Source organism: Homo sapiens, chromosome 10 (assembly GCF_000001405.40).
Source record: "Homo sapiens chromosome 10, GRCh38.p14 Primary Assembly".
Taxonomy (NCBI): Eukaryota; Metazoa; Chordata; class Mammalia; order Primates; family Hominidae; genus Homo; species Homo sapiens.
The window spans coordinates 14,482,133-14,501,756 of NC_000010.11; the positions used below are offsets into that span (position 1 = coordinate 14,482,133).

The window sequence follows — 19,624 nt, forward strand, 5'->3', positions numbered from 1 at the left end:
GCAGTGTCGTGATCTCAGATCACTGCAACCTCTGCCTCCCAGGTTCAAAGGATTCTCATGCCTCAGCCTCCCAAGTAGCTGGGATTACAGGTGTGCCCGACCATGCCCAGCTAATTTTTTTTTAATTTTTTTTTATTTATTTATTTTCCTCCTAGGCGGAGTCTTGCTCTGTCGCCCAGGCTGGAGTGCACTGGCGCGATCTCGGCTCACCGTCATCTCTGCCTCCTGGGTTCAAGAAATTCTCCTGCCTCAGCCTCCCAAGTAGCTGGAATTACAGGCATGCACCACCACACCCAGCTGATTTTTGTATTTTTAATAGAGACGGGGTTTTACCATCTTAGCCAGACTGGTCTCTGAACTCCTGACCTCAGGTGATCCACCCATCTCGTCCTCTCAAAGTGTTGGGATTACAGGCGGAGCCACCGTGCCAGGCCTATTTTTAGTAGAGACAGAGTTTCACTATGTTGGCCAGGCTGGTCTCGAACTCCTGACCTCAAGTAATCTGCCTGCCTCAGCCTCCCAAAGTGCTGGGATTACAGGTGTGAGCCACCATGCTCGATCCATCTCCAGGTTTTTTAGAGGGCTGATTTGTTAACTAGAAGGTTGATTGAGTACCAAGCAATAAAATGCAAGGTATTTTTAATTCAGTCATGAACATCTACTAAAATTATAAGAAAGTTGTTTTGTGAATCCCACGCTAAAGAAAGGGAAGGAAAGAATGTGGTTAACTCAGCTTAACTAGTTACCCGTCTCAGCGATCACAGATGATAAATGAAAAGGGAATCAAGTTCATACATTCAGCAAATTTTTTTAAGAGACAGAGTCTTGCTGTTGCCCAGGCTGGAGTGCAGTGGTGTTATCACAGCTCACAGCAGCCTCAACTTCTAGCCTCAAGCGATCCTCCCACCTCAGCCTCCAAGTAGCTGGGACTAACAGGTGCATGCCACCACACCCAGACAACTTTTTTTTTTTTTTTTTTTTTTTGTAGAGACAGAGCCTCACTACATTTCCCAGGCTGGTCTCAAACTGCTGGGCTCAAGCATCGGCCTCCCAAATCCCTGGGATTACAGGCATGAGCCACCATTCCCAGCCACATTCAGCAAATATTGATTGAGGGCTTCTGCATGCAAAATGTTGTTCTAGGTGCAGAGGAGAAAGAAGTTACCAAACAAAGACCCTGCCTTCCCTCTTGGAGTTTATTTACATTGAGGAGAAAGACAAAAAAATATATATAAATATATAATACAATGTCAGGGAGTGACAAACGCCAAGAAAAAAAAAATAAGGCAAGGAAAGTAAGCGTGGGCAATGGTGGGAAGATGAGACACAGGAACGGTCCCTCTCAGGAGGGGACATGTGAGCAGAGACCTGAGTGAAGCGAGGAGATGAGCTGTGTGAGTACCTGGGGGAGGAGCCAGCCCTGCAGTGGGAAGGGTTGTGCAAAGGCCCTGGGGCAGCACGCTTGGCATGCTCAAAGGACTGGGCTTGGTTTCTTAACAAACATATGGTGGCAGACTTGGTGCAGCCAAATGAGTGCTTTACCCTCCAAGTAATGAGGGTGCATGTATTATAATGAGGCTGCCGCTTTTGGAATCCCCCCTTTAGAATCAACCTTAAATTGCTATTTACATCCCCCTCTTCCCCAACTCCCACTCAAATAACCAAAGATCATCAAAAGAAACAGAAATAAATAGTGCCAGGAAATAGCAGAGAGGGCCATCAGCAGGCCAGAAACTTTGAGAAAACGTTGGATAGTGTGAGGTAGATGGGATCAAATTGACAGAAAAATTGATCAGGGCTGACTGACTGGTAATTCAGAGTCGGCCAGGGAGGCTCGCTGAGAAATGAAAGAACTTCCCCGACAGAGTCCTGAGGAGGAACCCCCAGCTCAGCTCTGACTGGAGGTCAGAGTGAGCCGAAGACACATTTAGAAAGGGATCAACAGGAAAACGTCTCTAATTGCACAGGTGGTCAGTCCACGTCCCCAGCTGCAGGTGGGGTGGATGTTAAAAGTCAAGTCCTAATGTCAATTGTGGGTGGGGAACCAAAAGAAGGTGGTACCCTGGCTAGCCTGTGTGTGCCACAGCAAATGGAAAATGGAACATAATTTATAACAGCTTAGCATCTGTGTTCACTTGGTGAACGTTGATTACACGAATTCGATGACTCCTGTCATACCCAACTAAAACAGAGTTGAGAAGCCAAGGCGTGGGGAATGCACTCTTGACACACAACATATAGGGTTGCTCCAAGAATGTCATTTTCTGCAAGCTCAGCTGCTGAAACTGCCTGCTGGATCCCCAAACCAGTCGAATCTAATGGCTACGAAACAACCTGCTGGGACTCTAAAAGTAGTTTTACCTGCCGCCACCACTTGCCTATCAGAAAGTTCCAGCTACGCAAAATTTTACTAGTGCCATTGAACTTCCTTGAAGGACAATACATAACGTTTATCTCTCTTTTACATATAAAACCTCTAACCTTCTCTTTGTTCTTTGGACATACCAAAGACCACCTGGTATGCATGTATGCCCCAAATTGCAATTTTTGCTTCCCCAATAAAATGTCCTAAATGTAGAGATTCATCTCTATACTTTATTTGACTTTGACCACTTCTTCCCTATTTCCTACCCCTAACCACATCCAGAAGATCTCAAGTAGATGGATGGGATGGGGATGAACCAGCTTTTGTGACCTTCCTGAGACCCCCATCCAGGAAGCAGCCGACTGCCCTCCAAGCTGCCTTGGGTAAAAGGGAGTTTGTCCCCAAAGGAACCCCTGCCTGCACCCTAGGCACACAAACACCAGCCACCAGTCTGTCCCCAGGCCACACGGTCCTACGGGAAGCCACCTGCAGCCTTCTCCTGCTCCCTCAGCAGACCCAGAACTGCCCTGTCATTCAGTAGGAGAATCTGTCTTTGTCCTGGTAGCTTGAATGGTGCCAACTCCATTTATGTTTTCTATTTGTATTTTCTTCGTGTTTTTCTTTTCCTTTCCTAACATATATGGGGTTCATTACATTTTTCATTGTTCTTTTCCATATTCATTTTGAAGTTCTACATCCTATTTCTATTTTACTAGAATTTTACTACATTTTTAGCTAACTTAATTCAACAAAATATTTTTGCATCATTAATAATTAAATAATACGTATAATCCCCCTTTCAACAAGTCTAACAAGATGAGGTGTTTGCAACCTTTTGTAGCCCCCTCCTTTTGATGGCTCCTTGAATTTAGTTCCAAGATTATAATTATTATTATAGGGCTTCTTTTATTTTGCACCGTATACCCTTTTTATCTTCTAATAGACTTTATGCTTTTTAGCAGTTTTAGGAACACAGTAAACTTGAGCAGAAAGCAGAGAAAGTTCCCATATACCCCCCCATCCCCACATATACACAGCTTTCTTCATCATCAACATCCTGCACCAAAATGGTACATTTGTTATCCTCAATGAACCTACGTTAATACATCATTATCATCCAAAGTCCATAGGTTACATTAGGGATCACTCTTGATGTTGTACATTCTATGACTTTTGACAAATATATCATGACATGTATCCACCCTTATAGCATCTTACAAAACAGTTTCGCTGCCCCCAAATCGTCTATGTTCCACCTATTTATCCTTCTTTTTCCCCAACCCCTGGCAACCGCTGATCTATTTACTATCTTCTATAGTTTTGCCTTTTCCTGAATGTCGTATAGATGGAATCACACAGTATGTATGTAGCCTTTTCAGATTGGCTTTTTCACTTAGTAATATACATTTGAGGTTCCACCATGCCTTTGTTGGCTTGATAGCACCTTTTCTTTTCATCACTGAATAATATCCCATCGTCTGGACATACCACGGTTTATCCATTCATCTATGGAAGAACATCCTGGTTGCTTGCAAATTTTGTCAATTATGAAGAAAGTTGCCAGAAACATCTGTGCATTGGTTTTTGTGTGGACATAAGCTTTCAATTCCTTTGGGTAAATACCAAGGAGCGTGAACGCTGGATCACATAGTAAGAGTATGTTTCATTTTGTAAGAAACTGCCAAACTGTCTTCCTAAGTGGTTGTGCCATTTTTGCATTCCTCCAGAATGAGTGAGAATTGCTGTTGTTCCAAATCTTCGCCAGCATTTGGTGTTAGTGTTTTGGATTCTGACCATTTCAATAGGTGCGTAATAGTATTTCATTTTTTGAATTTACAATTCCCTAATGACATATACTGCTTATTCTTTCAAATATTTTGAAAATGTGTTAAACCTCACAAACTATACTATCAACTACATTTAAATGTGTTAATGGTTTTATTGCTCACTATATAATGTAGCATTTATTTCCCTTTTAAAAGTTTATTCGTTTATTCCACAAACATCGACTGAGTGCCTGGTGCGTGCCCTGCGTGAAAATCTATAGTTACAAACTGACAAAACCTCTGTCTTCATGGAGCTTCCCTCCCCATAAAAGCTTTAAATTATTTTGTATTTGGCTAAAGTATACCCTTACATAATTTGTTTGTGGAATTTCTTTGTTTGGTTGGTTGTTGCTGTTGTTTTTCCCGAAATATTCTATTCTAGAAGGAAACATAGCTCATTCCCTGGACCCCTCTAGGTCTTCGCTCAAACATCACCTTCTCAGTGAGCACTACCACGGCCACATCACTTAAAATTGCATCCTCCTCCCCACAGTGCTCCCCGTTTCACCTCCTCCATAATATTTCTAACACACAACACATCATATTTCATGTAAGACATGAATGTTGACGCACACTATTACGTTTTATGTCAACAAAAGAGAAGGGCGGCTAACTGAGTCATGGCCTTGACATTAGGTCACACTGATGCGGGGCAGCTGAGCCCCATCATGGAGCTTAGCCCACAAGGCTTCTTGGCTTTGCCCAGGAAAGAATTCAAGGGCAAGCCAAAAGTAAAAGAAAACAGTCTTAGCGTTACAACTCTGTGACTGCCCCCGCAGAGCAGGGCTACCCAGTAGGCAGAGAGTAGCAGCTCAGGGCAGGGCAATTTTGCAGCCATATTTATACACACGTTTAGCTGCATGCAGATTAAGGAGTGGTTTATGCACGGGAGGGGTAGTAACTTTTGGATGGTTGGGTGCCGTGGAAAGAGGCAGTACCTCCCGAGTGTTGCCATGGCAACAGTAAATTGACCTGGTACACTGGTGGGTGGGTCTGATTGAATGCTGCTTTCATCCTGGCCCTGTTTCAGCTAGTCCTCAATCTGATCTGGTGTCCGAGCTCCACCTCTGGAGGTGAGTCCTGCCTCTTACCTCAACACCTCACCAATTTTTTTTTTTTTTACTAATTTGGAGATTTTAAGAGACTTCTCATGCCTTGAAAACCTTTGCATGTGATAGGCAGTCCTTTTGCAAACATAGCTCAGTAGTAAGACATGACAAAGCTTCACCCTCTTGCGGGTATCTTCTTTTCTTACAGTGTCAAAACATGACTGGTTGTTTATAAGGAAACACGGAATTGTGGTCACTCTCCCAAAGATGAATACTTGCTTTTGGGTTTCCATGCCTCTCCATGTACACAATAACCTTTTGTTTCAATTTCAGATCATCGTGGAATCTTTTTGAAGACATTTGAATGGCAAAATAAATCCTTTACGCATAGTACTGGCAAAGAGCCCAGCTGAGCTGAAGCAGGAACACTATGAGCAGCTTTTCTCAGGTTTGCAACTTCGGGGGAAATGGCAATTCCTTAAAGGCAGCTGCCCGGCCAGCAGCAATGATAAGATGCCAGCGATTATAGAATGCACCCCAGTTTCAAAGTTGCTAATGTGAAACATCATGCTTCTAAGAATCAACAAAATATAGTAATGTACTCACTTTGTCTATTATCTAGCTGCCTCTACTAGTTAGCAAGCTCTGTGATGATGACAGTAAACTTGGTGTATCTACTGATACCTCACCAGTGCCTATAACAGGACTTGGCCCATAGTACCGAGAACTGGAGAATGACCACAGTTCCATGTTTTCTTATAAACAACTAGTCAAGTTTTGACACTGTAAGAAAACAAGAGACCTCCAATCAAGTGAATGGACCCGCTTCTGGCTAAGGGAATCTCAGAAAAAGCTTAAAAACGAAGTTCCTGGCCATGACGGAAGAGGAGGTCAGACACATCTTGTCATACCCCTTCCCTTTTGTGGTTTAGCTACAACAACTGACCAGCATTCATGTTAAAATAGAAATCATCAGACTGATGGGATACGGATGCTTTGTGGCCATAAGATACCAAATTATGAACAGGACCTAAAGCCTTGCCAGGCAAGGGTTAAGCCACACACCCTACACTTTAAAAGAATAAACTATGTTCTAACGGCCACAAGGTTTCATTTTTCTCTAGCAGCTAAACAAACACTGGCCTTGACATAAGCAATATGAAAACAATTGCAGCCAGGTGCAGTGGCTCACACCTGTAATCCCAGCACTTTGGGAGGCAGAGGCGGGCAGATCGCCTGAGGTCAGGAGCTCGAGACCAGCCTGGTCAACATGGCAAAACCCCGTCTCTACTAAAAATACAAAAATTAGCCAGGCGTGGTGGCGGGCACCTGTAATCCCAGCTACCCAGGAGGCTGAGGCAGGAGAGTCGCTGGAACCCAGGAGGCAGAGGCTGCAGTGAGCCAAGATCGCGCCACTGCACTCCTGCCTGGGCAACAAGAGCGAGACTCCATCTAAAAAAAAAAAAATTTGCAGCTCGTGTACTTCCAGATGCTGATTAACTGACCCCCATCCCACCAGCCATCACTACAGCTTTGATTGGAGAAGAGACTGATTTCAGTAACTTTGTCCTGATCAGAGGCTGCTGACCGTAGACTGGTTGTGGCCAGTTTACAGAGGCTGTGCACTCAGTGCCAGAGGGAAGCTAGGGAGGAGGGAAGGAAGGAAGGAAAGAAGGGAGGGAGGGAGGGAGGGAGGGAAAGGTTTACTACCTATACACAGTAAGAAGTCCACTCACTGATGCAATTGGATCTTGGTGTCCCTGCTTCACCTTTTGATGTATAGGGTCTAACTTGAATACACTTAAATGTTAAGTCTCTGCCCCAAAGTGAACATGGAATACATGTAACGTGCATGTTTGCTTATCATGCATGTGCCCTCACTTTGTGATAATGCTTAGCTTTTCCTGTAATCTGTAGACCAACCCATTCAACATAAATTCCTGTTTCATTTCCTCCAAGTGCTTGCCTTGGGGTTGATAATATTATTTTTCAGTCTTATACGCTATTTCCACTGAATAGCATATTAGGCTGTGCTTCCCAGCCAGTCAAGATGACCACCTTGCAGGCTATAACCCTTTATAATAAATAAGATCTCCTTTCCAAATGTATAGATTGGGTGATTTTTAAGTTGACAGTATGCAATCGACTGTTTTTTAAGTGAATGCACAGATGAGACAGGATTTCACACCTGCCCTGTATAGCTGGAAAGCCAGGATCTCCCACTGCCTCTGTGGCACATGGCATTTCTTTCCAGATTGGAAGGCAATTGCATGTCATAGTCACTCTGCTTTGCTCCCTGACCCTTTGGCTGGCTGAAAGCCTCTTTTCCAGTAAAAGAGGGAACAGTGGCCTGACACATGTCATCCAAAAGATGATTGATGATTTTCTAGGCTGCTATGGGGTTTTTAGCAAATTCTTGTAGAATCAAGTGTGAAGGCCACAGAAGCTTCAGCCACAACACTCTTGTCTTTATAAATCAAAACAAGAGCAGAAGAAAGAATTAAAGGACAAAGGAAAAGGAAAGAGAAGGAGGGAAGGAAGGAAGGAAGGAAGGAGGGAAGGAGGGAGGGAGGGAGGGAAGGAAGGAAAAGGAAAGGAAAGGAAGAGGAAGGGAAGGAGGGAGGGAAGGAAAGGAAGGAAAGAAAGGAAAAGAAAGGAAAGGAAAGAAGAGTTACTACCTATACACAGTAAGAAGTACACTTGCTGATGCAATTGGATCTTGGTTTGATGGGTTCATGAGGAGGCAAAGATGTTAATTCCCGGGGCACTTGGATGTTTCAGAAGCCAAGGAAGTTCTCAAGCAACCCAGGAAGAGCTGCAACCCTCATCAGGAAAAATTATCCAGGCTCTCAACCTCCTGGGCTTCCGAGGCATATATCTGTGCCTGCCTGTCCCCAAATGGTATGCCTGGAGTGTGGGAAGACGGGCTTCAGAATTATTCAATTTAATAAACAGCTAAACAAAAAGGAAAAGGGAAAAAATATTTCTCACTGGCTGCACATTGCTTTAAATCCTTGTTCTTGTGGTTTATATTTTATGGAAATCTGTGTTTGGGAAAACACAAGGAGTGTCCTCCATGAACAGATACTGTTTTTCTTCTATACTCATGACACAAAAATTTGTTTCTACAGCCATCATGGGAGGTGCTCCTAGTACCTCCTTCAGATCTAATGCAGGTGTTTGAAGCCTAATGATGCAGGACATCTGTTTTAATTACCTTTACAGCTGTCCAAACTCACCTGTTATACAGTATGCACATTTCACTTTAATAATGATATGTATAATGTGCTATTTCACGTTAATTAGCACAACAGCTTTTCATTTCAATGCCAACAGAACCTTGAGCCTTTAAGGTCTTAATCTCAACTAACTCAATTCTAAGGTTATTTATGACTTTATTGCTTTGTGCTTTTGTTACTTTTTTCCACTCAAAATTCACAAATTAGCAAGCTAAAGAAAAAGTCTCTTCATTCAGGGATTCTGAAAGTGTGGTTGGGGCAAACCAATAATCAAAGCCTGGACACTTGCCCTCACATTTGTCTCATTCAACAGGATTCAGTGAGCCCCTGCTAGAGGCTATGGCTGAGCACCATGCCAGGCACTGGGGCTGCAAAATGCATGAGGCATGACCAGTGACTTGGGAGGGAGGAGGGACTTAAATGATAAAGTCTTTGATTTGAAAGAATTTAAATTTTTCTTACTCGATGTTTATCATTTTCCTCACGTGATGCTCTTTTCAAAGAACACATTCTTCCTATTAAAACAATAATAAAATCCTTTACAGGGAAAGCTGATTGGACTAGGACATGGCTGCATAGATTCTACCTCATCAAATGGTCCAAAGGCCTTTCTTCCAAATTTCTGGCAGGAGCATCCTAAAGTACCGTCTCCAAGAACAAAGGACATTCCAACTTACAGTGGGCACACTCCAATGTCTCCTAGCTCTCCAAAGCAGAAACATAGTTTAAACATTTAAATCAGATGTGAAAAGTGAGCTTAGGGCCAAAAGAAATTAGCACTGATAAAGTGAAAGTGAAAAGTAATTTGATATGCGTGGGTTATCCTCCACTTCACCCCCATTTGTTTAGCTTTTATGGGAATGGGGTTTTTCAAGGGAATTCCAAATGGGAATTTCCTATAAGGAGATATTTGTGATCTCTTAGCCTCATGCTAGGGGACCGGTACAAGAAGATGAAGATGAGGGTGTCTTGGGTTTACATTGACAAACATGGTAACTCCAGTAAATCTTCTACAGATTTATCACAACTGTTGCCAGTGATATTGATTTTTAAAACTCATAGGTAAAGAAAATCTTATCTAAATCCTTTTGCTGCAATATTCATGCACCTAGTTGTCTTACCCTTGTCTCTTGGAAAGTAAAATTGTATTTACTTCACTGTGTATTGGCATTCATTATACCCCATGGGGAACACTAGTTGATCACCAGGATGCCATTATAGAGTAGAGGGAAAGGCATCTCTCTGAGATGAAAGTAGAGATCCTTTCTTTCAAAACCATCCTCTTGTGAAAACCCCCTGGTTCGATTCTTTGAACTAGTCCCTGGCTTCCTTCTCTTTTCCAGATGTTTCAGTCTCCACTTCCTTGATGACCAACCTTTTACTTCCTACTTATAACATGAATCATAGGGTTTGCTAGTCACTGAATGACAAGTCAGAGAGATCCAAAGCATGAGAAGGATTAATGTGCTGTTGCTGGCCAAAGAGAGGCCTCTAGGATCAGGGAATGACCACACACACACACACACACACACACACACACACGCATGCGCGCACACACACACACACATGCACGCAACATACATAGAAACTGACAGAAAATCAATGAAATAGAGACCTCAGTCCTACACCCACAAGGAACTAAATCCTGCCAATGAGCTAAATGAGCTTGGAATGAATTCATCCACAAAGCTTCAGATAACAGCCCAGCCCAGCGCAGCCCAGCTAACATCTTGACTTAGGCCTTGTGAGAGCTTAAGCAGAGAAGCCAGTTAAGCCCATCTAGACTTCTGACCTATAGGATTGTGAGCTAAAAACTGAGTGATATTTTACATTGCTAAGTTTGCGGTGATTGTTACAGAGCAACAGAGATTAACACAATATTGGCCGGGCGCAGTGGCTCACACCTGTAATCCTAGAACTTTGGGAGGCCAAGGCAGGTGTATCACTTGAGGCCAGGAGTTCGAGACCAGCCTGGCCAACATGGTGAAATGCCATCTCTACTAAAAATACAAAAATTAGCCATACATGGTGGTGGGCTCCTGTAATCCCAGCTACTAGGGAGGCTGAGGCAGGAGAATCGCTTAAACCCAGGAGGCGGAGGTTGCAGTGAGCCGAGGTCACACCACTGCACTCCAGCTTGGGCAACAGAGCAAGATTCCATCTCAAAAAAAAAAAGAAAGAAAGAAAGAAAGAAATTAACACAGCATCCATACAAGTGAAATTCTTAGGTCATACTGTGTGCACATGCTCAACATTGTAAAGTAGCACCGACTGTTTTCCAAAGTATTACAGCAATATTTACTCCCACCCACAGGGTACAACGTGCTAGTTGTTCATATTCTTATCAACACATAATATTCTCAGTTGTTTAAAATTTTCAAATCTGGTGTATGTGTAATGGTATTACGCTATGGCTTTAATATGCATTTCTATGATTACTAATGAGACTGACCATTTATTTCTTAATATATTTTGTAGCCATTGAGTTTTCTTTCTTTTGTGCAATATTTGTTCACGTCTCTTAACCCAACTTTTATTGGGTTCTTTTCTCTTATGCATTGATAAGATTTCTTTAAATATTCTACCTATGTGTCCTTTATCAATTATTATTTCACAAATATCATCTTACACTTTTTGTCTAGTGAAATATTTTGCTATTTCAAAGTCATGAAAATATTATTTTATAAATGCATTATACTTTTGCTTTCATATTTAGGTTATTTAATCCACCTGGAATTGAATTTTGAAGATGGGTTGTGGTAGGATCCAATTATATTTTTTTCCAGCTGGCTAACCGATTGTTTTTGCAGCATTTATTCAAATATCAGTTCTTTTCCCTTTCATTTGCAGTATCAATTGTGTTGTATGTCCAGTGACAATATCTGTGTAGATCTGGTTTTTGCACCGCATTCTGTTCCATTGTTCTATTTTTTTTAATTTCTACCTCCATACTACACAATCTTAATTATTGTATTTTTATACCATATCTTGATATCTTATAGGCCTAGCCTTCCTAGGCTGGTTTCTTTTCTTTGGCTGTACTTGGTCCTTTATGTTTCTGTATAAGTTTAAAATTTGCTTATAAAGTTACAAACACACACATACACACACACACACACACACACACACACACACACCCTTTTGGGATTGCTTTGAGTGTATAAATCAATTTGGAGAGAATATGTTCTAATCCATAAACATAGTATGTTTCTCCACTTATTTAGGACTTCTTTCATATTGGTCAATAAAGATTTTTAAAAGGCTTATAATTTTTAGAACCTTTGTGCTATTCTTTTACATATAAAGTAAATTAAAACATTTTATAATGCACAGAAAGGCAACAACAGAATGGAGAAACTTTCGAGGACTTATGAAACCTTTTCCTTATCTTTTTTATAAGGAAACTGTATATATCTATTGCTGTTTACTCCTTTAAAAATATTTTTAAAATTATTTTTATTTTATATATTTGAGGTGTACAACATGATATTTTGATATACATATTCATAGTGAAAGGACTATTTACAGGCAAGAAAATTATCCTATTCATCACATTCCATTGTTACTCTGCGTGTGAGAGAGAAAGAGTACCTAAAATCTCTCTTGGCAAATGTTCAGTATACAATACAGTGTTATTAACTACATCCTCATTCTTCACGTTAGTTCTCTAGACATTTTCATTCTACCAAACTGCAAATTTGTAGCCTTGGACCTACTTCTCGCCAATTTCTTTTCCTCTTTACCCCTAATAACTACTATTAGACTCTCTGTTTCTATTTATTTGACTTTTTAAATGCTTTTTAGTGCTATTCTGGTATCTTTTTTAAATTAATAAACTTTATTTTTTAGAGTGGTTTTAGGTTCACAGAAAAAAAAAAAAAGGCAACTCTTTCATTTCATTTTCCAAATGTTTGTTGCCAGTATATAAAAAGACAATAGATTTTCTTATATTGGTATTATACCCATAATCCTGATAAACTTTTTATTAAATCTAATAAGTTTTATACAAATTTGTTTCTATTTCCTATATATACATCATGACATCTACAAATAATAACAATTTTGTTTCTTTACAATCCTTATACTTTTATTTTTCTTGCCTTACTGTACTTTCTAAGACCTCCATTATAATGATTATTAGAGATCTCAGCCAGGCACGGTGACTCAGGCCTGTCATCCCAGCAGTTTGGGAGGCCAAGGTGAGAGGACTGCTTGAGCCCAGGAGTTCAAGACAAGTCTAGGCAACATGGGGAAATCCCATCTCCACAAAAAAGACAAAAGTAGCCAGGTGTGGTGGTGCACGCCCGGTTGTCAGCTACTCTGGAGGCTGAGGTGGGAGGATTGCTTGAGCCCAGAGATTGCAATGAGCCAAGATCACATCACCACACTCCAGCCTGGGCAACAGAGTGAGACCCACTCTCAAAAAAAAAAAAAAAAAAGAAAGAAAGAAAGAAAAAGAAAAGAAAAAAGATTGTTAGGACCCTTCCATCATTATTCATCTAAAAAGAAATATTTTCACCTTTTCACCATTAAGAATGACAACTGTGGCAGAATTTATGATTTGTTTTGTTTTGTTTATTTTTTAGGTATAAGTTATGTTAAGTGAATTAGTTTGAGAAGGATTTTATTAAAAATCACATGTGATATTGAATTTTATTAAATATTTGTCTATATCTATTGAAATAATCATATAATTTTTCTCCCTTAATCAAATACTTTAGAAAATTACGTTAACTGATGCTCAAAGTCACGCTAGCCTTGCATTCCTGGAATACACAGACTTCATTATGATCATCCCTTTGAGATGTTGCTGGATTTGGTTTGGCAATATATTGCCTAGAATTCTTGCATTCATGATCCTAAGTGTGGTCAGCCAGTAATTTTCCTGTCTTCTACTATCCTTGGTAGGTTTTGGCATCAAGATTTTGGAAGCCTCAAATTGAGGTGAGGAGTGTTTCCTCTCCTGCTGTACTCAAGAATAGTTTGTGAAAAATTGGAATTATTTTTTCTGGACTTTCTGGTAGAACCTGCCTTTGAAACTACCTTTGCCTAGACTTTTAAGATTGTTTTTGACTACTGTTTGATCTCTTTGAAGCATATATTATGTTTTTAAATTTTGGGTTTGTAATGTTATATTTACTCCCTGACTACAAATTATCTCATATAAAAAAAATTTTCATTAGCAGCTAAAAGAACACCACAGGAGGGCCTTAAGCTTCAAGCTTTTGAATGTAGAATTTTTGTTCAGGAGAATCACAGGAGCGATGAGCTAGCTCTGTCCAGAATTGAAAGCAGGTGATGACCAAAAAAAGAAAGAAGCCAGAGAACAAGGAAGATAGTTTCCAATGTTATTGATTGTATAAATCTCAGTTCATCATCCCAAAGAAAAAAAGATTTCATGCTCCACCTACCTAACTCATCTACCAAAAAGAGAGAATCGCCCATCACTAGGCTCTTCTTTTTAACTTACTTCTGGGCAACGCAACCCCTTTTTTCTTCTCTGCATTTATTTGATTTTAAATTGCATGAGCAATTTACATTAATATTTCTCTGTAGCATTCACAGTTTTCTGCTGGATTGGTCCAGGTCCAATTTATAAGCATGGAAACTGATTTCCAAAATCAATTAAGTGGCTCCAAGGAATGAGACTGCAGAGCCAAGATGCGAATCTGAGAATCCTAGGATTGGAAGGGACCTCAGAAATCATTTGGTGGCTTTTGTTGTACCATTGAGAAGGTCAATAGGGAACAGCCAGTGAGGGACAGAGCCCCAGCCAGAATCAAGGGTTTGACTGCTAGGTCAGCTTCCATTACCCGGAGAGATTTGCCCCCAATAGGAGTCACTTCACTGTTGCTTTTTAAAGATCTTTAAGGAGGGAAATGCTTGCTTTTGTGCAAAGTGTGCATAGTGATAGTTTACAGTTTCAAATCTCTAAGTCAATAACAGGAACATTTCCCCATATAGTGACCCTTGGTTGAAAAGGCAAGTTCAACCACTGTGGAAGACACTATGACGAGTCCTCAAAGATTTAGAACCAGAAATCTCATTTGACCCAGCAGTCCCATTACTGGGTATATACCCAAAGGAATATAAATCATTCTATTATAAAGACACATGCACACGTATGTTCATTGCAGCACTATTCACAGTAGCAAAGACATGAAATCAACCCAAATTCCCATCCATGATAGACTGGATAAAGAAAATGCAGTACATATACACCATGGAATACTATGCAGCCATAGAAAGGAATGAGATCATGTCTTTTGCAGGGACATGGATGAAGCTGGAAGCCATTATCCTCAGCAAACTAACGCAGGAACAGAAAACCAAACACCGCTTGTTCTCACTTTTAAGTGGGCACTGAACAATGAGAACACATGGACAGTGAGAGGAACAACACACACTGGGGCCTGTCGGGGGAGGCTGGGGAGGGGAGAGCATTCAGAAAAATAGCTAATGCATGCTGGGCTTAATACCTAGGTGATGGATTGATAGGTGCAGCAAACCATCGTGGCATGTGTTTACCTATGTAGCTACACATCCTCCACATGTATCCCAGAATTTAAAATTAAATTGAATTTAAAATTAAATTATATTAAAAAGAAAAGGCAGAAGCAATTATTAGTTAGCAGAGAAAGTGGCCTAAAATCACAAAGAAGAAAACGCTTGTGCATAAATGAATACTTCATACTCTAAATCTGTTTACATTTTATGAAGAACTTTTCAAAGGATCTGCTGGCTCATGTTTCTCTGATGTTTTATAGTTTACAGAGCAGTTTCTCCTGTGCTGTTTCATTTACTACAATTCAGCAAACCTTTATTTAGTTGAGACGGCTGCAGCTGTTTACCAAGGCCCTTGCCATGTGTGCAGGGAGACAAACATGTATACAACCTCTATCGTGCCTGACAGGCATGACACTTTCGAATGAGGCTTCCAGCACTGGCAGTGGGAAAGCAGTTGCACCACGTGGGTGTCAGGAGCAGTCTCACGGGCAGGATGCTTGAGTCAGCTCATCTGCAATTGGTGAGATTTCACCAGGAGGCCATGAAAAGGCCGACCCACCAGATGCGAAGGGAGGGAAGGTGCTGCATTGCCCGGGAGGAAGCAGCATGGCAGTGTGGCCGAGTGGGTAAAGGCGCGGGCTCCATAGTCAGAGACCTGGGTTTCAGTTCCAGGCTGCTATTTTTTTTTTTTTTTTTTTTTTTGAGACGGAGTCTCGCTCTGTCGCCCAGGCTGGAGTGCAGTGGCGCGATCCCGGCTCACTGCAAGCTCCAAATTCCGGGCTGCTATGTACTAGTTGTGTGACCTTAGACATATTCCTTTACTTCTCTCTGCCTCAGTTTCCCTGTAGATAAATGGGGGAGGGGTAATAACACAACATCACTCTTAAGATGAATATGCAAATTGATCTATAAAGCACTGAGCAAAATACTTGGCACATGGTAAATGTTACCTGTTGTTGTATCAGAAAACCATAAGTAGCTTGAGGAAGCTGGCTGGCGTGATTGGTACCGTAGCTTCCATGACAGAGCAATTGAACCTTATGGTATTGACAAGGAAGAAAGTTTCTCTGCAAGTTGGTAAGAGGCTCAGATTTGTGTTTTAGGAAAGAACTGGCCTATTATGAAAGGAGAGCGATTGGAAGCAAGGAATGGAGGAGGTGGGACTTCTATTAGTCACTGTGAGAAATGGCTTCATGCTTTGTCCATTGTGTGTGTGTGTTCATGCAAGTGCACGGGTGTGTGTGAGTGTGTGATTTCTATTTTCCCCATAGAATGTCATCTCCCCCATGGCAGGAGCCCTGGCTTCCTTACACTCCCAGGGCTCCTGCGCCTGGTACCCATGTGCTGGATGAATGAATGTGTGAAACTGCAATTCTCGCAATACTTGACCGTGGGCAGGAGCGGGACGGCGAGTAGGTTTTACAGATGAGGAAAACCACACCAGGAGTCTCCATGACTTCCTCACTGCCCTCACAGTAAGAGGCAGCACTGGGCCTAGAAAAGGGGACTTTTTACTCTTTGTGCCTGAACCTATCATATCAAACTGAGAGGTGTAATCATAATGCTTACTGCTCATGATTTGAACTAGTTCACCTCAGACCAAGAACAGAATATTAGAACTCAATAAATTAATAAACAAATTATAATTATTGTTTTTATAGCGATGGAATGGAGTCTCACTATGTTGCCCAGACTGGTCTCAAATTCCTGGGCTCAAGCCATCCTCCCACCTCAGCCTCCCAAAGTGCTTGAATTATAGGTGTGAGCCAACACGCTTAGCTAACTTTTTAAATTTTTTGTAGAGATGGGAAGGGAGTGGGGGGGGTCTTGCTATGTTCTCCAGGCTGGTCTCGAACTTCTGGCCTCAAGCAACCCTCCCGCCTTAGCCTCCCAAAGTGCTGGGATTACAGGCATGAGCCACTGTGCCCAGCCTATGAATTGCGATTCTAATTTTAAAAACTAAGACGTTCTGCTGGTGCACACTAGATGGCAGCAACGCGCATCATTTTAAGGACGGTGAAAGTAGCGGCCGCATCCCTTGGTAGGGTCTGTATAGCCCTGGCCCTCGGCTAGGGCTGGGTTTTATTATTTCATGTAAGCTTCCCAACCTCTCAGTATTGCAGATACTTAGCAGAAAGGATTAAGTCCCGAGTTGCCGAAGCCTAACGTCACCAACCTTGCTATTGCCAAGAGCAGGCATGGAAAGGTTTTCCTTCCTCTCTGGAGGCCAGCAATTGACTATCTTGCCCAGTCATAAAAGAAGACACTTAGGAGAAGCCTTGATTCCTAGAAACGGCTGAATTAGGCGTTCTTGCTGCAGGGACAAAGGCTTCCTCCGGGCCTTAGAACGGGCCGAGAAAACCTACCATCTGCCTTCCTCGCCGGGAAGGCACCTTGACTTTGGCTGGGCTGGGCCAGCCCTGGACACACTGATGACAAGCGACGCCTGCCAGTGCCCAGCTCCCTCTTTCCAGGCCCTGTCATTTAATGGCAAATATTTATTGAGGGCCTACTATGCGCCAGGCCTTATGTCCCAGCCTCCAACCCCACATGCTTCACCCCCACACTGTCTGTCACTGACCATCCTCCTGTCCCAGGCTCCTCATGGCTCCTGACTGGCTTCCCCACCGCCTGGTCCCACTTCTCCGTTGCCAAGCCAAAAGGGGTTGTCCCAGCTGTACCCAATGCTTGAGGATGTATTAAGGTATCTCTGCCAGGTAGAAAAGGGTAAATGCGTTGTCTTTCCCCAGACAACAGCATGTTGAAATTTTACCGCTACACAGTGGTTGGGACTTTAAAGGTTAATGCAGGGCTGGGCGCAGTGGCTTATGCCTGTAATCCCAGCACTTTGGGAGGCCCAGGGGGGTGGATCACCTGAGGTCAGAAGTTTGAGACCAGCCTGGCCAATAAGGTGAAACCCCGTATCTACTAAAAATACAAAAATTAGCCAGGCATGGTGGCATGGTGGCACATGCCTGTAATCCCAGCTACTTGGGAGGCTGAGGCAGGAGAATCGCTTGAACCTGGGAGGCAGAGGTTGCAGTGAGCTGAGATCGTGCCATTGCACTCCAGCCTGGGCAACAAGAGTGAAACTCCGTCTCAAAAAAAAAAAAAGGTTAACACGGTAGGATTTTAGAAGAGGCATTTGAGGGCAGCTGGACGTTATGGCTTCAAATCATACCACGTGGTGAGGGGTTGTATCTAGGATGGCCCTGGCCCTGCACGTTGGGTGTGTGAGCAACACTGCAGCCACTCTGCCCCACCCCAGAGCCTGTGACTGAGCCTGGACTTCCTGAACTTCATAAATAAGTGTAGATAACAAATATAAACAAAAGAACAGCAATCATCATCATCACTAATGTTTACTAAGCACTTTACATGAATCTCCTCTAACACTTTTTTTTTTCAACAGGACATCTCCCTCTGACACCCAGGCTGGAGTGCAGTGGTGCAATCGTGGCTCACTGCAGCCTCAACTTCCTGGACTCAAGCAATCCTCCCACCTCATCCTCTCAAGTGGCTGGGACTACAGGCCGGTGCCACCACATCTGGCTAAATTTTTTTTATTTTTTGTAGAGACAGGGTCTCACTATGTTGCCCAGGCTGGTCTGGAACTCCTGGCCTCAAGTGATCCTCTCATCTCGGCCTCCCAAAGTGCTGAGATTGCAGGCATAAGCCACTATACCTACCCTACTCCTTTAACTCTTACAACGGCTCAATGAGGCAAACAAAATCATTATGCCCATTTTATTTTACTTTTTATTTTTTGAGATGGAGTCTTGCCCTGTTGTCCAGGCTGGAGTTAAATGGTGCAATCTCGGCTCACTACAACCTCTGCCCCCTGGGTTCAAGTGATTCTTGTGTCTCAGCCTCCTGAATAGCTGGGATTACAGGCGCGTAACATTATGCCTGGCTACTTGTTGTATTTTTAGTAGAGACGGGGTTTCGCCCTGTTGGCCAGGCTGGCTTCGAACTCCTGACCTCAAGTGATCCACCTGCCTCGGCCTCCCAAAGTACTGGGATTACAGATGTGAGCAACCATGCCTGGTCAGTTACGCCCATTTTACAGATGAGAAAACTGGGGCCAAAGCATTTATTTTCCCAGAATCACAAAGCTAGAAAGCGATGGGACTATGATTCAAATCCAAGTTCTCTGATTCCAGAGCCTGTGCTCCTTATTCTATTGCCCACTCAATTTTTCCCCCAAAATCCAAGCCAACATCCAATGTGAATTCCATCTGACCTTGGTTATGGAAAGCAGCCCCCTCCCCGACACCCCCCCCACCCCTGCTCCCACACACACAGCCATTCTATTGAAGGAGACTAGCCCCAGATGCCCCCTGGCTTCTTGCTGTCAGTAGTGAGAATTAGTCCAACAGTTGGAGAAAAGAAGCCACCGATAACTGAGAGTTGGCTATTGCCTTCGTTCTCTGCATTTTGCTCTTGTAAAAAGCAATGTGTGTGTGTGGAGCCTCTAAGTATGTCCATATGGTGACATAGACAAGACCGCGGTACTTGCTTGTGACAACTGGATCTGACCTTCCCTGGAACTCTTAGGAAAATGTAAATTGCTCTTTCGTGGCCCCAACAGCACATTTTGTACCCACTTTGGTCAAGGTCACTATACAAGGAGGATCC

At 42.5% G+C, this 19,624-nt stretch overlaps 1 long non-coding RNA gene across 1 annotated transcript; it reads left to right on the plus strand.

The window, feature by feature from the left end:
* Window positions 1-5,137: 5,137 nt before the first annotated feature.
* On the plus strand, window positions 5,138-6,343 carry LOC124902380 (uncharacterized). The gene is made up of 2 exons (XR_007062062.1): window positions 5,138-5,264; window positions 5,574-6,343. It is a non-coding gene; the product is annotated as an uncharacterized LOC124902380 (long non-coding RNA).
* The last annotated feature ends 13,281 nt before the right edge of the window (window positions 6,344-19,624 follow it).